This window comes from Homo sapiens, chromosome 20, assembly GCF_000001405.40.
Source record: "Homo sapiens chromosome 20, GRCh38.p14 Primary Assembly".
In the NCBI taxonomy this organism is placed as follows: Eukaryota; Metazoa; Chordata; class Mammalia; order Primates; family Hominidae; genus Homo; species Homo sapiens.
In genome coordinates, this window is record NC_000020.11 from 3,471,601 (window position 1) to 3,487,791 (window position 16,191).

General features: G+C 40.6%; 1 protein-coding gene across 4 annotated transcripts in view; it reads left to right on the forward strand.

Moving 5' to 3' along the window:
* Positions 1-16,191, forward strand: part of ATRN (attractin) — a 180,101-nt gene that overhangs the window by 583 nt on the left and 163,327 nt on the right. The gene's annotated exons all lie outside the window — the stretch shown is intronic.

The following is a 16,191-nucleotide window of genomic DNA, read 5'->3' on the forward strand; positions in this document are numbered from 1 at the left end:
AGATGCTGGACAGAAAGTGGAGAGGGTAGGGCCGCCCTATGGGGTTTGAGGGCCATTTGCTTCCGGGGAGATCATCGTCTCTGGCCTGGGGTCTTTCTCTGTTGGAAGGTGAAAAGGTGTGGGGCAAGGGTGGGGGCACCCCGACGGTATTTGGGTGCTTAGGTTAGTTAGATGGGAAGAATGCTGAGGGACCCAAAGAGCATCAAAGCCGATCGCTCTAAAACTCGGCGTGTTTCAGCTAAACGAGGTATCCAAGGAAAGGTGGTCGAGCCAGGTTTGCTTGAACACTTCCTTTTAACATCCACATGTGCCCTAGGACCCGATGAGTTCCCCGATGCACTGGAGATGTGGGGTGCTCTGAAGAAACAGGGCCCTGGAAATGCTTTGTTGGCTGGAGATAAAAGGGAAAGGGTAGCATTGTAAGATATTAGGGATAGAAGGACCAGTGGTCCTTCTAAAGGAAAGTGAGGAAACTAGCCTTTTGGCAAAAGCTCCCTGGAGGTGGCAAATTGGAATAGGGTCTGTGGTGAAGAGGGAATGGAAGGAGATTCCTATTTGCCTTGGTTTCTGGACAATATGAAGTTCTGAATTGGCTTAGTTTGGGGCAGTTCCTCTTGGAGAAATCAATAAATTAATTAGCAGTTATCGTTATTTGCTTCAGTTGTGCAATGATTTTCCAGATAATACAGACAGATTAGCCAGACTTTGGCCTTGTCCACAGGGAGTTTGGAATATAGCAAGAGAAAGATAATGTGCGCACATAACCCTAGTCATAAGGGTTACAGAGTCATTCACGCCTTTGACAGGTATTTAGCTTACTGAACACATGTCTGATGTGGGGGAGTGGGGAAATGTGAACAAGACAGACAGGGCCTCTGCTCTCATTGACCTTAACATTCTAGTGGGAGCAACAGGCACTTAACAAGTAAATAAATGAGAGAAATAAACATGGTAATTTCAGGTAATGGTAAATGCTATCAAGAAAATAAAAACAGCGTGGTCTGATAGAGAATTATAACCGGTGGTGACTCTTGGAGAGGGTTCTCATTTGAAATGACATTTGATCTGAGACCTGAATGAGGCAACAGGGAACTTGTGGGAATTCAGGGATGGAGAGGTTGTGGCTAGCTGGAGGGATGCAAGGAGGACTTTGAGGAGGCGGTAACATTGGATTTGAGCATGTAAGGTTAAGTAGGATTTGGAAATGTGGAGCTGGAAAAAAATTACAGATGGAAAGAAGGGTGCAAACAAAGTTGTGGAGGCTGGAAAGTAAAGTTTTGCTGCTGCCTATGTGGAAGAGAGTTGTGAGAGAGGAGTTTGGAATAGCAAAATTGTAGACTTAGGTAATATTAGGTCTTCTGAGGAACTCAGAGAACGTTGAGCAGATGAGCTCTTTAGTTTTATGGATGGAGAAACCAAGTTACTTCAGGACCACTGATGCAGTGAAGCTGCTTTTGTAACTTAGGGTGTTCTGATTTATGAATTCCATTAACCTACATGTATTTGTTGAGGGCTCCTATGTTTTAGGTTGTGAGATACAGTGGTATACAAGACAGGCACAGTCCTGCTCTTACGGAGCTCACATTTCAGCTTGGGAGTAAAAAAATCCAACAAAAATTTTATTGTAATTTTGTTTAAGGCTGTGGAGGTAAAGAGCAGGAGACAAACAGAGGACTTGACTTAGTCTAGGGGTAAGGTAAGTCACTGAGGAAGCGATGTGAAGTCTGAGGGGTGAGATGGTACTACCTGCGTGAGGGGTGGGGTGCTGAGGGGCCAGCAGGTACAGAGGCTTGGGGTTGAAGCGGATGGAAGGCCAGGTGGCAGGAGCAGAGAGAGCAAAGGGGAGCTTGGCAAGACTGGAGAGAAAGGCGGGAAGCCAGGCCAAGTGGAGATCTGTGGGTTGGATTGAGAATTTTGACCTTTAGCCCAAGAGCTGTGAAATGGCGTAGTTCACGCCTATTTTCATGACATTATAGGCTTTTAGATTGGAGCCAGAATACAAATGGCCTTGAAGGTGAGGCCAGGGCATTTTCCATTTGAGAAGCTTCCAAGGTCAGGTGAATGGATGGTTGAGTCAGACGAGGATCCTTCAAGTTCTGAAAACCTGGGACACTGTGGTAGGCAGTGGGGACCAGCGGTGTGGGAAGGGGACTTCATAGCAAGATCAATCTGTAATGTTCAGAGTAGGTACACTCACTTTGGGCATGAGAGATAGGGGGCAGCTAGGTGGGATCTGTTGGCATGGGTCAGAGCAGTGGTAATGAGAGCTTGTAGAGGTGAAATGGACAAGTCTTCCGTGTAAACTGGTTTGCTCTTGGAAAGGTGGGGGATGGTGAGGGAAAGAAAACTAGATCCTGTCTTGGGTGGTTGAGAGGACAGTGATACCATTAACAGACACAGGGACACAGGAGCAGGTGTTAGACATTTAATTGCATGCATGCTGAGTTTGGGGTGCTCTCAGAGTACACACCTGGCAGATGTTAAGTTTGGAGTCATCGACCTATGAGGGAGATTGCCAGGGAGCTCTCTCTGAGAGTCCACATGGAAAGCCCAGAGGATTGGATAAGAGCTACTTGTTGCAGGGAACAGGCAGTCCTGACACTGGTTGTCTCAAATAGTGTCACAGGTGAGTGAAGGGACTCCCCTGCTTATTGTGGACATTCCCTTTGAGCTGATTCTAGGTGATGTCAGTGCTGTTTCCTGGGTAGACAATTATGACTTTGGTCCTGATGATACCATTATATTTTGTGGGCTTTGGGATTTTGCATTTTTAAAAATGAAAGTAGGAGGAACTTATGACTCTGGTCTTTTAAAAAAAACTCAGTAGGCCAGGCGTGGTGGCTAACACCTGTAATCCCAGCACTTTGGGAGGCCGAGGCGGTGTATCACGAGGTCAGGAGATCGAGACCATCCTGGCTAACTTGGTGAAACCCCGTCTCCACTAAAAATACAAAAAATTAGCCGGGCGTGGTGGCGGGCACCTGTAGTCCCAGCTACTCGGGAGGCTGAGGCAGGAGAATGGCGTGAACCCGGGAGGCAGAGCTTGCAGTGAGCCGAGATCGCACCACTGCACTCCAGCCTGGGTGACAGAGCGAGAGTCCATCTCAAAACAACAACAACAACAACAAAAACTCAATAAAATTTTAGTCGAGGCCAAGCGCGGTGACTCACGCCTGTAATCCCAGCACTTTGGGAGGCTGAGGCGGGCAGATCAAGAGGTTAGGAGTTGAGACCAGCCTGGCCAACATAGTGAATCCCCGTCTCTACTAAAAATACAAAAAATTACCTGGGCATGGTGGCAGGCGCCTGTGATCCCAGCTACTCGGGAGGCTGAGGCAGGAGAATTGCTTGAACCCGGGAAGCGGAGGTTGCAGAGAGCCGAGATTGCGCCATTGCACTCCAGACCAGGCGAGGGTGTGAGACTCCATCTCAAAAAAAAAAAAAAAAAAAAAAATTTAGTCCAAGTATTCTTTTGGGGGCAAGAGTGAAATGTTGGTTTTGATTGCAGTGGCTTGTATCTTGATTGAACTTACAAACCTCTTTGTTATTAAAAGACATTAAATGAATACCTTTCTGATTTAGAATGGCATCAAGTTGGAGTGTTTTTTGAGCTTTTTAGTCCTGTAAATCCTGTGTTATAATTGCCGTTATAGGGTTTTTTCATTAATTGAAGGGAACGTAGGCTAACGAGGAGTGGATTTCCCTAAGGTTATCACTGAGTGCAGACTATGTGCCACAGAGCATTTTCATGTACATTGTATTATTTAATCCTCAGGACAACTCTGAGGGTGTTATATAAAATTTAGATTATTGAATTATTGTAGTTAGTAACATTTTTTCTAAATAAAAGATGACATAGAAATGACTGATTTTAAAGGATAAGTTAAAGGATGTCAGTTTAATAAAAATACCTATAGAATCTTTGGTGTGTGATTTCTAAGGCAGTACCACTTTCGTTCATTCTTATGTGAATCTTCATAATTCAGTGATCATTTTTTTCTACTTGTAAGGTCACCAGTGTAATTTTTCTTCGAAGGATAAATATGCCCATAGGATAAATTAAGCTCATTTTTGAATTTAATATTCATTCAATTCTTTTAAGTTCCTGCTGTAGAAAATGTTTGGGAGAATTGAATAGAATAATCTGGTGAATTGGATTGAGCCTGATAATGTTAAGATGTACCTTCTGTAGAAAAAAAAAGAAAGGAACTAAGCACTTATCAGACATCTGTTTTGTGCCCAGCACATACAGTAATAATAGTGGGTGGGTGTAGTAGCTCACACCTGTAATCCCAACACTTTGGGAGGCAGAGGCAGAAGAATCACTTGAGCCCAGGAGTTTGAGACCAACCTGGGCAACAAAGTGAGAGCTCCTCACTACCAAAAAAAAGAAAGTTAGCTGGGTGTGTTGGCATGTGCCTGTGGTCCCAGCTACATGGGAGGCTGATGCAGGAGGATGGCTTGAGCCCAGGAGGTTGAGGCTGCAGTGAGCCATAATCATGCCACTGCATTCCATCCTGGGCAACAAAGCGAGACCCTTGTCACAAAAAAACAAAGCAAAACAAAAAATATGTATATAGTGCCAACTGCCTATTAGAAATAACTCCCTTTTAGTCCTTAGAGTGAAGTTATTCCCATTTCACAGATGAGTAAACTTGGATGTACTGAATAACTTGTCCAAGGTCACAGAAGTTGTGCAAAATTGAGATTTGAACTCAGGGTTGTCTAATGCCCAAACCTGTGTTCTTTTTATTATACCATTTGGCGTCTCATTTTTTTCTGAGTCCAGTCACTCTTTATGGACGTTCTTTGAAGGACTGACCTAATTCCAACAAACATTTTGAGAAATAAAGGAAGGAAAATAGATTTTTACAATAGGAAAGCTAACATTTTAAAAATCTTAAATTCACTTCAGTCTCTCTGGCTGACGATCTGAGGACATAAATACCTTTTTAACTAATGAAATGAAAATTCTTGCCTGGGCGCAGTGGCTCACGCCTGTAATCCCAGCACTTTGGGAGGCTGAGGCGGGCGGATCGCCTGAGGTCAGGAGTTCGAGACTAGCCTGACCAACATGGTGAAACCCCGTCTCCACTAAAAATTCAAAAAATTAGCCAGGCATGGTGGCGAGCGCCTGTAATCCCAGCTACTCAGGAGGCTGAGGCAGGAGAATCGCTCAAATCCAGGAGGCAGAGGTTGCAGTGAGCCGAGATTGTGCCATTGCACTCCAGCCTGGACAACAAAAGCAAAACTCTGTCTCGAAAGAAAGAAAGAAAATTCTTGAAAACAAAATGTGAAGAAGTGAAAAGTTAAAACTTTTTTCTTATAGTAATTACTAAGTGATGTCAACCTCAAGCCCTAAATTTATGTTCACAAGTCCAGTTTAGGCTGATCTGCTTTCCCCAGTGCAATGTAAGTTCCATGAGGGCAGGGGCCTGGAGCATAGTTCACAAGTCCAGTTTAGGCTGATCTGCTTTCCCCAGTGCAATGTAAGTTCCATGAGGGCAGGGGCCTGGAGCATAGTTCACAAGTCCAGTTTAGGCTGATCTGCTTTCCCCAGTGCAATGTAAGTTCCATGAGGGCAGGGGCCCAGAGCATAGTTCACAAGTCCAGTTTAGGCTGATCTGTTTTCCCCAGTGCAATGTAAGTTCCATGAGGGCAGGGGCCTGGAGCATAGTTCACAAGTCCAGTTTAGGCTGATCTGTTTTCCCCAGTGCAATGTAAGTTCCATGAGGGCAGGGGCCTGGAGCATAGTTCACAAGTCCAGTTTAGGCTGATCTGCTTTCCCCAGTGCAATGTAAGTTCCATGAGGGCAGGGGCCTGGAGCATAGTTCACAAGTCCAGTTTAGGCTGATCTGTTTTCCCCAGTGCAATGTAAGTTCCATGAGGGCAGGGGCCTGGAGCATAGTTCACAAGTCCAGTTTAGGCTGATCTGCTTTCCCCAGTGCAATGTAAGTTCCATGAGGGCAGGGGCCTGGAGCATAGTTCACAAGTCCAGTTTAGGCTGATCTGCTTTCCCCAGTACAATGTAAGTTCCATGAGGGCAGGGGCCTGGAGCATAGTTCACAAGTCCAGTTTAGGCTGATCTGCTTTCCCCAGTGCAATGTAAGTTCCATGAGGGCAGGGGCCTGGAGCATAGTGAGCAGTAAATATCTGTTGAATGAAGGAATAAAATTCTGTAATTTACTTCTTATGACTTTTAAAAAAGTCGTCTTTACCCACATGACTGCCATATATGTCTTCTGTCCTTATATTGCTCCTGAACTTCTCTGTCATCCACTGTTTGGTGGGCATCTTTTATTGTCACCTCATACTGAATCATGTATAACACCAAACTTCTATCCTCATTGAAAAAAATAGTCTTTTTCTTTGTACTTCCTTATTTGTTTTAGCTAAATCCAAATTTAGCTAACCAAAGGTCAAAACTTAGCAGTAATCTTTGGCTCTTTCTACCTGTTTGTTTTTTTCTGCTCTCACACTGTATAAATTTGTTTCTTTCCATTTCTTCTGCTGCCATTCTAATGTACCTAACCCTTCACCTCATTGCTGACCTGCTTCTGTTGCACTTTTACTGTTTTCTTACACCTGCAGAGTCTGCTTCACACTTTGTCATATCAGTCTTCTAAAAAACATGTGTCTCTATGCACACGTATGTTTATTGCAGCACTATTCACAATAGCAAAGACTTGGAACCAACCACTGATGGGCTATCCAGCCCATCAGTGATAGACTGGATAAAGAAAATGTGGCACATATACACCGTGGAATACTGTGCAGCCATAAAAAATGGTGAGTTCATGTTCTTTGCAGGGACATGGATGAAGCTGGAAACCATCATTCTTAGCAAACTAACACAGGAACAGAAAACCAAACACCGCATGTTCTCACTCGTAAGTGGGAGCAGGGAGGGGAACATCACACACTGGGGCTTTCGGTGGGTAGGGGGATAGGGGAGGGATAGCATTAGGAGAAATAGCTAATGTAGAGTATGGGTTGATGGGTGCAGTAAACCACTGTGGCACGTGTATGTCTGTGTAACAAATCTGCACGTTCTGCACATATATCCCAGAACTTAAAGTGTAATAAAAAACAAAAACATGTGTCTCTTATTTTGCTTCTTTTATTACCTCTAAAATGATCCTCAGCAGAAGGATCCCATTCCTTTCACATCCCTTTTTTTCCTAACCAAATCTTTCTACTTCGTAGTTTTTCTGTGTTTGCTAAATTCAGCACCTCCCTCCTCACTGCTCCCCCATTCTTTCTTTTCATCTCTACTTACCAAGGCCCACCTTCAGTTCTCTATAATCTATAATTCATACCCTTTTTTTTTTTTTTTTTTTTGAGAGACAAGGTCTTATTCTGTCATCTAGGCTGGAGGGCAGTGCTCCTGGGCTCAAGTGATCCTGCCACCTCAGCCTCCCAAGTGGCTGGGATCACAGGCCAGTGTGCCCAGCCAATTTTTAAATTTTTTGTAGAGATGAGGTCTCACTATGTTGCCCAGGCCAATCTGGAACTCCTGTCCCCAAGAGATCATCTCGTCTTGACCTCCCAAAGTGCTGGGATTACAGGCATGAGCCACTGCACCTGACCCCTATTATCTTCTTTTGAAATGAGTCATCTGCTAATTCACTTCATAAATATCTGCTGAATATTGTGTGTTAGGTACTGTGCCCTTCCTTGAGGATATGAAGGTGTGTAAGAATCAGGCCTTGCTTTCCCCTAAGAGAAGTTATAACTATGAAGGGAAGACAGCTACGTACACAGCAATTAGAATTTCATAATAAAAATACAGGCAATATGTGGTGCTGGACTAAGATGTGATTGACTTAACTCTTTTGGGGGTTCTGGTGGAAGACATCACAGAAGAGAGGACATTTGGGCAGGTCTGAGAGGTTTAGTGTGAGTAGACCATCTGGGGGAGAAAGACATTCCAGAAGGAATGAAGAGTTGATGTGCAAAGGCAAAGAATTATGGATTATCATACTTAGTGTATTAATTTCCAAGGGCTGTTACAGTGAAGTGCCACAAACTCATGGCATAAAACAACAGAAATTTATTCTTTCATAGTTCTGGGGACTAGAAGCCTGCAATCAAGGTACTGGCAGGGCCACGATCTCTCTGAAGACTCTCAGGGAGGATCTGTTCCATGCCTTTCTCTTCGCTTCTGGAGTTGCCAGCAGTCCTTGGCATTTTGGCTTGTAGATGCATCACTTCAGCCTCTGCCTCCGTCCCTTCAATCTCATGTGATACTCTCCCTCCCTTTGTGTCTCTGTCTTTTCTCTTAAGGGTACCAGTCATAGTGGATGAACGAGTATGACATCATCGTAACTTTGTTGCATCTGCCAAGACCCTGTTTCCAAATAAGGTCACATTCACAGGGACCCAGGGTTAGGACTTTGACATATCTTTTTGGGGAACACAGTACAACCCACAGCACCTGGAGAACTGAATGTAGGTGCCTGTTGTTGGAACATAACTTGTGAGGGGTGTAATGGAAGGAAGGGGGTGAGGTTGTAAGGTTATAATGGCCTCTTTTTGTCCCTTCCCAACAATCTCCAGCTTCTGGGTTTATGCTTGACCTAGGATAAGCCCTCAGGGCATTCCAGTTTCTGGCCGTGCTGATTGTTTTGAAATGGGTTTATGATTGATTTTAATGGACTCAATCAGAGTGAATCTCAGGACTTTTGTCGGAGATCCCTTTCCTCTGTGGGCGTTTAGAAGGACATGTGTTGCCTTCTTTTCTGTGTGGCGAGGCCATAATGCCTAGAACTGTTAAGAGTTAGCGTTGCTGCTGTAAGGAATTCACCTCAGGTCAGAACAACTCCCAGAAGATGGAGGATGGCAGAGAAATGGAGCCGGAGACCTGATAACTTTCTGAATCTCTGGATCAAAACTTGCCTGAAGGTGTAGTTTTTGGTTTGTGAAGTACTGCAGTCCATGTTTTTCTTAAGCCGGTTAGAGTTGGATTTCCTTCCACTTACAGTAGAACAATTCCTAACATACAGAGGGAGGGAGGTAGAGCCAGCTGACTAGGGTTAGTCAGTTAGGGCTTCTGTAACAAATTACCATAGACTTTACCTCGATGAAAGGTTCCCAAGATGGGCAGATGCTTTTTATTTACCGCAGTATAGAGGACAGGTATGTACGCAGGAGAAAAAGGAGAGTGTGTGTTTATGATCAGAACAGTTTTGATCATATAAATGTGATTAAGTGATTTAATACATTTGTAGGTTATTTTTATCTTAAGAAATACAGAAGTGAGTACCTAGTGTTATGATTGAACAGAAATCTTACACTGGTTTTTCTTGTTAATACAATCATATTTCCAAAACTGAAATGAAACTATAGTTGTACTTTTTGAAATACTTGTGTCTGGAAATTGGCCATTAACTTACTATGATACTTGTTTCCCACTTAAATAGTACTCTCCTATTTTCTGTGAATTCCCAAATGCATTTTGGCAAGTGACTTCCATCTATATACTATATACTGTTCTCATCTTTCATTTTTACTTTGTTCCTTCCATTTTCCCTTTTCTTTCTATACTTCAAACTGCTCTGTTATTATTAACGTGACTTCCTTCTTATGAGGGCTTTCTTATATTTGTCTTGCTTTTTTCCCACTTTTCATTTTCTTTATGTCATATCTCTTTAACTGCTTTTCTTTTATCACTGAGACCATGGTTCGATATCCTTTCAATTAAAACATTGAAAAAGTTTTTTTTCTTTTTCTGCTAGTGGATTGATCTTCGAGTGTTTGAGACAGGGGCTTACCCTGTCACCCGTGCTGAAGTGCGGTGGTGCAATCACTGCTCACTGCAGCCTTGACCACCTTGAGCCTCTGGGCTCAAGTGCCTCCCACCTCAGCGTCCTGAGTAGCTAGAACTGCAGGTGCGCACCACCATGCCTGGCTAATTTTTTAATTTTGTGGAGATGAGGTCTCACTATGTCGCCCAGGCTGATCTCGAACTCCTGGGTTCAAGCAATCCTCTCATCTGCGCCTGCCAAAGTGCTGGGATTACAGATGAGAGCCACCATGCTTGGACCCTTTAAATTTTTAATTAAGTTTTCAGTTTTTTTCAGTTTGCGTTTTGGGTGGACTTCAGTTCTAGCTGTTTATTTACATGCTTACCTATTGAGAATTTTCTGTTTTTCACTTAGAGAAGTTAATTTTAGTAATGGGTGAATTTCCTTTTTTTTTTTTTTTTTTTTTTAGAATTTGACATTAAAAGTATACAATTATTAAATGAATGAATTTTCCAATTAATTTCTCTTGGTCCTTTTTGTATTTTAAGAATTTTTTGATTGGTTTACTAATAAGCCAGTAAACATTAGGGGCTGGAATTCTGTCAGTTGCTGTTAAGAGTCACATAAGTAACCTCCCTTGACCTGTGTTTTCTAAATTTTTAAATTCACAGATCCTTTCACAAAAATGTATAATCTTATGGACTCCCGTAGGAATTAAAAAATAATAATCTTTTAAAAAATGTATCCTGTTTTTAAGATAATTTTAAATAAAGTAAAAGTAGTTTGTTAATAAAGATTATAATGTCTATTTTAAATATAATTTATAATGATATTCAAAGGAAAATTTGACCTTACTCTATTTAAAACGTGGTGCATATATTGTTTCATGTACTTTAATTATGTAAGGAAAAGCATGAGTTGTAGACAAAAAAAAAAGACATTACATTTTGGGATAAAATGTATATTAACATAGAGATTGAATTTAACTGTGTTTTGTGCTATTAAAAATAGTTTTCCTGTCCTAATGTTTGATATTCATAAATATGTGCTTTCACAATTATTTTTTAGAATTTTTTTGCGTGTTTTGATTCTGAATGATAAAATGATAGCGATTTTCAGCTATTTGTAAGCATTTCTCTGCAAATAACACATTTCCTGTTTGGATAGTTTTTCTCTAAATTGAATGAAAAGGCCAACCTGGCTATAATTGTCACTCAGTTTTCCCTTTTGAACACTGTTTTTGAAGTACTGGAGATATCAAGGATTTTGATCAGAAGGTTTGGCAAAGATGATCTTGAGACAGATCTGCAGAATTAGATTCATTTTATGCCTTCTCAGAACTTATATATAAATATCATTGTGTCTTATGCTTCTCTTTTGATAGATGACATGACTGTCTTTTAATGGGAGCAGTATTTGGACAACTCTTTGAGAAACACTGACCAATACTGACAAAATGTATAACTCATTTTTTTAAAGTGATGATATGTTTAGTGCTGGTTCAGTCTCTGAACTAACTATAACTTCCTATTAATATGAAATATTTGAAGCCTATGGAAGAGATGCGAGGAATATCTCTTTGTACTTGCAACCTGGTTTTTCTGAATTTTCTTCATATTAATGTTATTCTAAAAAGTAAAATGTTACAGATACTGACCAAGGTCCCCATGTTACCACCCCTTCTTAATCCTCTTCACCGTACCCTTTCCCCAGAGGTAACTAGTATGGTGAAGTTGATGTTTATTATTTCTCTTGCATGTTTCTACTCTTATTACAGAGAGTACAGAGAGATATTTCTGCAAACAATATCTTATTCCCAAAAACATGTAGCATTTTTTAATCTTGAGATGAGATATGCTGGAGATTTATCTGTTGATAAATGTAGTTCTAGTGGATTCATAGTTAATATTAATTACAGAAGGATTCCAGTTTACTTACCCATTTTCCTGCTGATGGGCATTTAGAGTTTTCCAACTTTTGCTGTTACAAATAGTACTACAATTACATTCTTTTTTTTTGTGACAGGGTCTCACTCTATGAACCAGGCTAGAGTGCAGTGATGTAATCACCGCTCACTGCAGCCCTGACCTTCAGGGCTTAGGTGATCCTCCCACCTCAGCCTCTGGAATAGCTGAGACTACAGGCATGTGCCACCACACCCAGCTAATTTTTTGTGTTTTTAGTAGAGACCAGGCTTCACTATGTTGCCCGGGCTGATCTTGAACTCCTGGCCTAAGCAATTTGCCTGCCTGGGGCTCTCAGAGTGCTGGGATTGCAGGTGTGAGCCACCATGCCCGGCCCAATTAGCATTCTTTACCTATCTCTTTTTGCATACATGTGTGATTTTTCTCTAGGGTAGTGATCTTCAGTCTTTTGAAACACCTCCAAAATAACTGAAATTCTTTTTACTTCCTTGCTTTCAGGTTGACATGCAGTTGACACATATTATTTTTCAAAAAAAAACAGATTTATAGAGTTGAAGAGATACAATTTCTGTATATTATAAATAGAGCTGCTGAAAAAATTCCCCATTATACAGTATTACTTTAAAAATATTTATTGAGTAGAATCCAAATTCCATAGCAGTTTAATAACCTTTCTCATTTTAAAAAATACATGAGGCCGGGCATGATGACTCACACCATAATCCCAGCACTTTGGGAGGCTGAGGTGAGAGGATTGCTTAAGCCCAGGAGTTTGAGACCAGTCTGGGCAACATAGGGAGACCCCATCTCTATAAAAAAATTTAAAAATTTGCAGGGCATGATAGCACATAACTGTAGTCTTAGCTACTTGGGAAGTTGAGGTGGGAGGGTCACTTGAGCCCAGCAGTTTGAGGCTGCAGTGAGCTAAGATCACACTACTGCATTCTATCCTGGATGACAGAGAGGGACCTTGTCTTTAAAAAAAAAAAAACAACAAAGAAACCAAAACCCACATGTAGTAAATGTTATTATTCTTTTCCTTTATGGCTTGTCCTTTTTGTGTTATATTATAAAATTCCTTTCCTGTACTGACCTTGTAAATATACTCTTCTATATTTTACTTCCTCAAAATTTAAAATTTTTGCTTTATTCCATTCTGATCTTTTATCCACCTGTAACTTGTTTCTGTGAATGATTTGTTATATTGACCTAATTTAATTATCTTTATATGGTAAGCGGTTGTTGCAGTTCCATTTATAGAACAGTTTTGCCCCTGCTCCCCGTTTGTATTGAATTGTGCTATAATCATTTAAAACTTCAGACTTGTCTTGATTGTTCTTAACTCTTGGCTCCCCTAATTTCAACAAAAATCCCTGTTGATATTTTGTTGGAATTTCACCTGATGTTGAGATAAGCCTGGGGAAATCTGTCATCTTTATTATAGAGGGTCTTTCCATCCTTCGCATCCTTCTGGAAAGATGCTTTATATTTCCAGTTTAGGTCTCATATCTTTCAGTAAATTCTTATAGCTTTTTTCAAATGATCTGACACACTTTTATTAGATTTACTACTCGATAGAGAATTTTGTTATTACTAGAAACTAATTGATTACTATAGTACCTAGGAATGGATTTTAAAATTATTATTATTATTATTATTATTATTATTATTATTATTGCACTGAGTAATATTTAGCTCATGAGTATCTGTATTTATCTGGGCACCTCTCTGAAGTCTGGTAAACTTATTCACCTGTCTGGATCTAGGCAGGAGGTTGACTGGGCTCAGCTGGTGGGGATGGGGGTGTCACAGCTGTCACATCTCTTTGTACCAGAGGCTGGCTGAGCCTCACCATCATGGTGATGGCAGAAGTGCAAAGGCAGAATTTATTTCCTCGTATTTTGAATTTTTATATCTATGAATCCTTCCTAAGCTCTTGTAGTACTGGTAGCTTGTGTGTGGATTCTCCTGTTCCCCATGTTGATAGTCATGCTGCCAATAAGTTGTGACAGTTTACTTCTAAACTGTATACACCTTCTTTCTTTTTCTTGTGTAATTAATGAGCTAGTTCATGTTGTTGAATATTATCAATGTAGGACATTGTTGAATGGTCTTGATCCTGACTTTAAAAAGAATCCTATGGAATAGTTCCCTGCACATAGAAGGTGGCCTGTGATTATATTGATTTTTGTCTTTTCATCTGTTAATGTGGTAAATTACACTTACATACTTTTTAATTGTTAGACCATCTTTGTATTCCTGAGTTGAACCCATTTTGGCCATGATATGTTTTTTAATACAGATTTTTAGATTTGGTTTGCCAATACATTTTTTTGAGGTTTTTTTTTTTTTTTTTTTTTTTTTTTTTGAGTTGGAGTCTTGCCCTGTCGTCCAGGCTGGAGTGCAATGGTGCGATCTTGGCTCACTGCAACCTCTGCCTCCTGGGTTCAAGCAATTCTCCTGCCTCAGCCTCCCAAGTAGCTGGGATTACAGGTGCCTGCCACCATGCCTGGCTTATTTTTGTATTTTTAGTAGAGACGGGGTTTCACCATGTCGGTCAGGCTGGTCTCAAACTCCTGACCTCATAATCCTCCTGCCTCAGCCTCCCAAAGTGCTGGGATTACAGGCATAAGCCACCCCGCCCAGCCTGAATTTTTGAACTGTGCTTGTGAGCTTTTCTTTTGGCAAGCATGTCAGATTTTGTCTGTTGTTTTATTTTGTCTTCACCCTTGAATGCTCATATAGCTGGGTCTGGAATTTAAGATTGATCATTATTTTCTTTGAGCAATTTGAATGTTTTTTTCCAATGTCTTCTGATTTTTATTACTGATGTTTCAAAGTCAGCTGTCAGTCTAATTCATTCATAGGTAATTTTTTTTCTTTCTCTCTTTTTTAGCTTCTTACTCTGGAAAATTTCAAATAAACAAAAATGGAAGGTATAACAAGTGTGACGTGTCTGTCACCAGCTTCAACATTTGCAACTCATAGCCAGTCTTTTTCACTTTTACCACTGCCCCATTCCCATGCCTTCCCCTCCTCCCACCAGCCAGCATAGATTATTTTGAAGTAAATCTCAGGTGCCATTTTGTTTCCTTCTGGTTGTTTTTCTTTTCCTTTTTCTTTTTTTCCTTTTTATTTTTATTTTTATTTTTTTGAGACAGAGTCTTGCTCTTTCACTCATGCTGGATTGCAGTGGTGTGATCTTGACTCACTGCAACCTCTGTTTCCCGAGTTCAAGCGATTCTGGTGCTTCACCTTCCTGAGTAGTTGAAATTACAGTTGTGTGCCACTTTTTTATTTTTAGTAGATATGGGGTTTCACTGTTGTCTCGAATTCCTGGCCTCAAGTAATCTGTCCGCCTTGGCCTCCCAAAGTGCTGGGATTACAGGTGTGAGCCACCACACCAAACCATTCTGGTTTTTTATAAGTGCTCTTGCTTTTACTCATAGTCTATCTCTGTTATTTTTTTCTTTCCCTTTCTCTTTTGGTTGATTGTATTAACGTAGTATTACTATGATGTGCCCAAATGTGGATTTATTTTTATTTTGCTCAGTGTATGTGCATTCTTTATCTGAGGATTCAAGTCTGTTATCATTTCTGGGAAATTCTCAGGTATTATCTTTTGAAAGCTTCCTTTACATTTTATTTGTTATTATCTCTTAGTACGACTTTTAGACAGACACATGTTGCCTATTCTTTTTATTCTGTTTACTTTCTACTTCTCATAATTTTTATCTATTTCCCTCTGTTGCATTCAGGATAATTTCCTCAGATCTGTTCTCTAGTTCACAAATTCTCACTTTAACTGTATCTAATTTGTGGTGTAACTTGTTAAATTTTCATTTTCAGTGACTGTATTTTTAATTTCTAGAGGTTTTATCTTTTATTAATAAAACTGGCTGCTTATTTTCATAGTGTTATTTTTTGATACTTTTGATCCTATTGTGCCTTTAAGCAATTTTAATTAATTAATTAATTTTTTGAGACCGAGTCTTCTTGTTGCCCAGGCTGGAGTGCAGTGGCATGATCTCGGCTCACTGCAACCTCCGCCTCCCAGGTTTAAGCAGTTCTCTACCTTAGCCTCGCGAGTAGCTGGGATTACAGATGCGTGCCACCACACCCAGCTAATTTTTGTATTTTTAGTAGAGACAGGGTTTCACCATCTTGGCCAGGCTGGTCTTGAACTCCTGATCTTGTGATCCACCCGCGTTGGCCTCCCAAAGTTAAATTTATTTTATGTTCTTTATTGGATTGTTCTAGTAACTGAACTTTATAGGGTCTAATGCTGTTGTTAGTTTGCTGATTTTTGTTCATGGTACATTGCTTCAATTTTGTCAAAAATTTGAGTTCCTCTTCAGTGAGACTTTATCAATGGACATATGTCTCTAGAGAGAGTTTGTGATTACTTCTTCTAGATATCTTTGGGGGTATTCTGACCTGGGGCTACTTTCTATGTTAATTTTATTTTCTTATGGGTACCTAGAACCCAAGTGAGGGTGGTATGTATTAGAACTCAAATG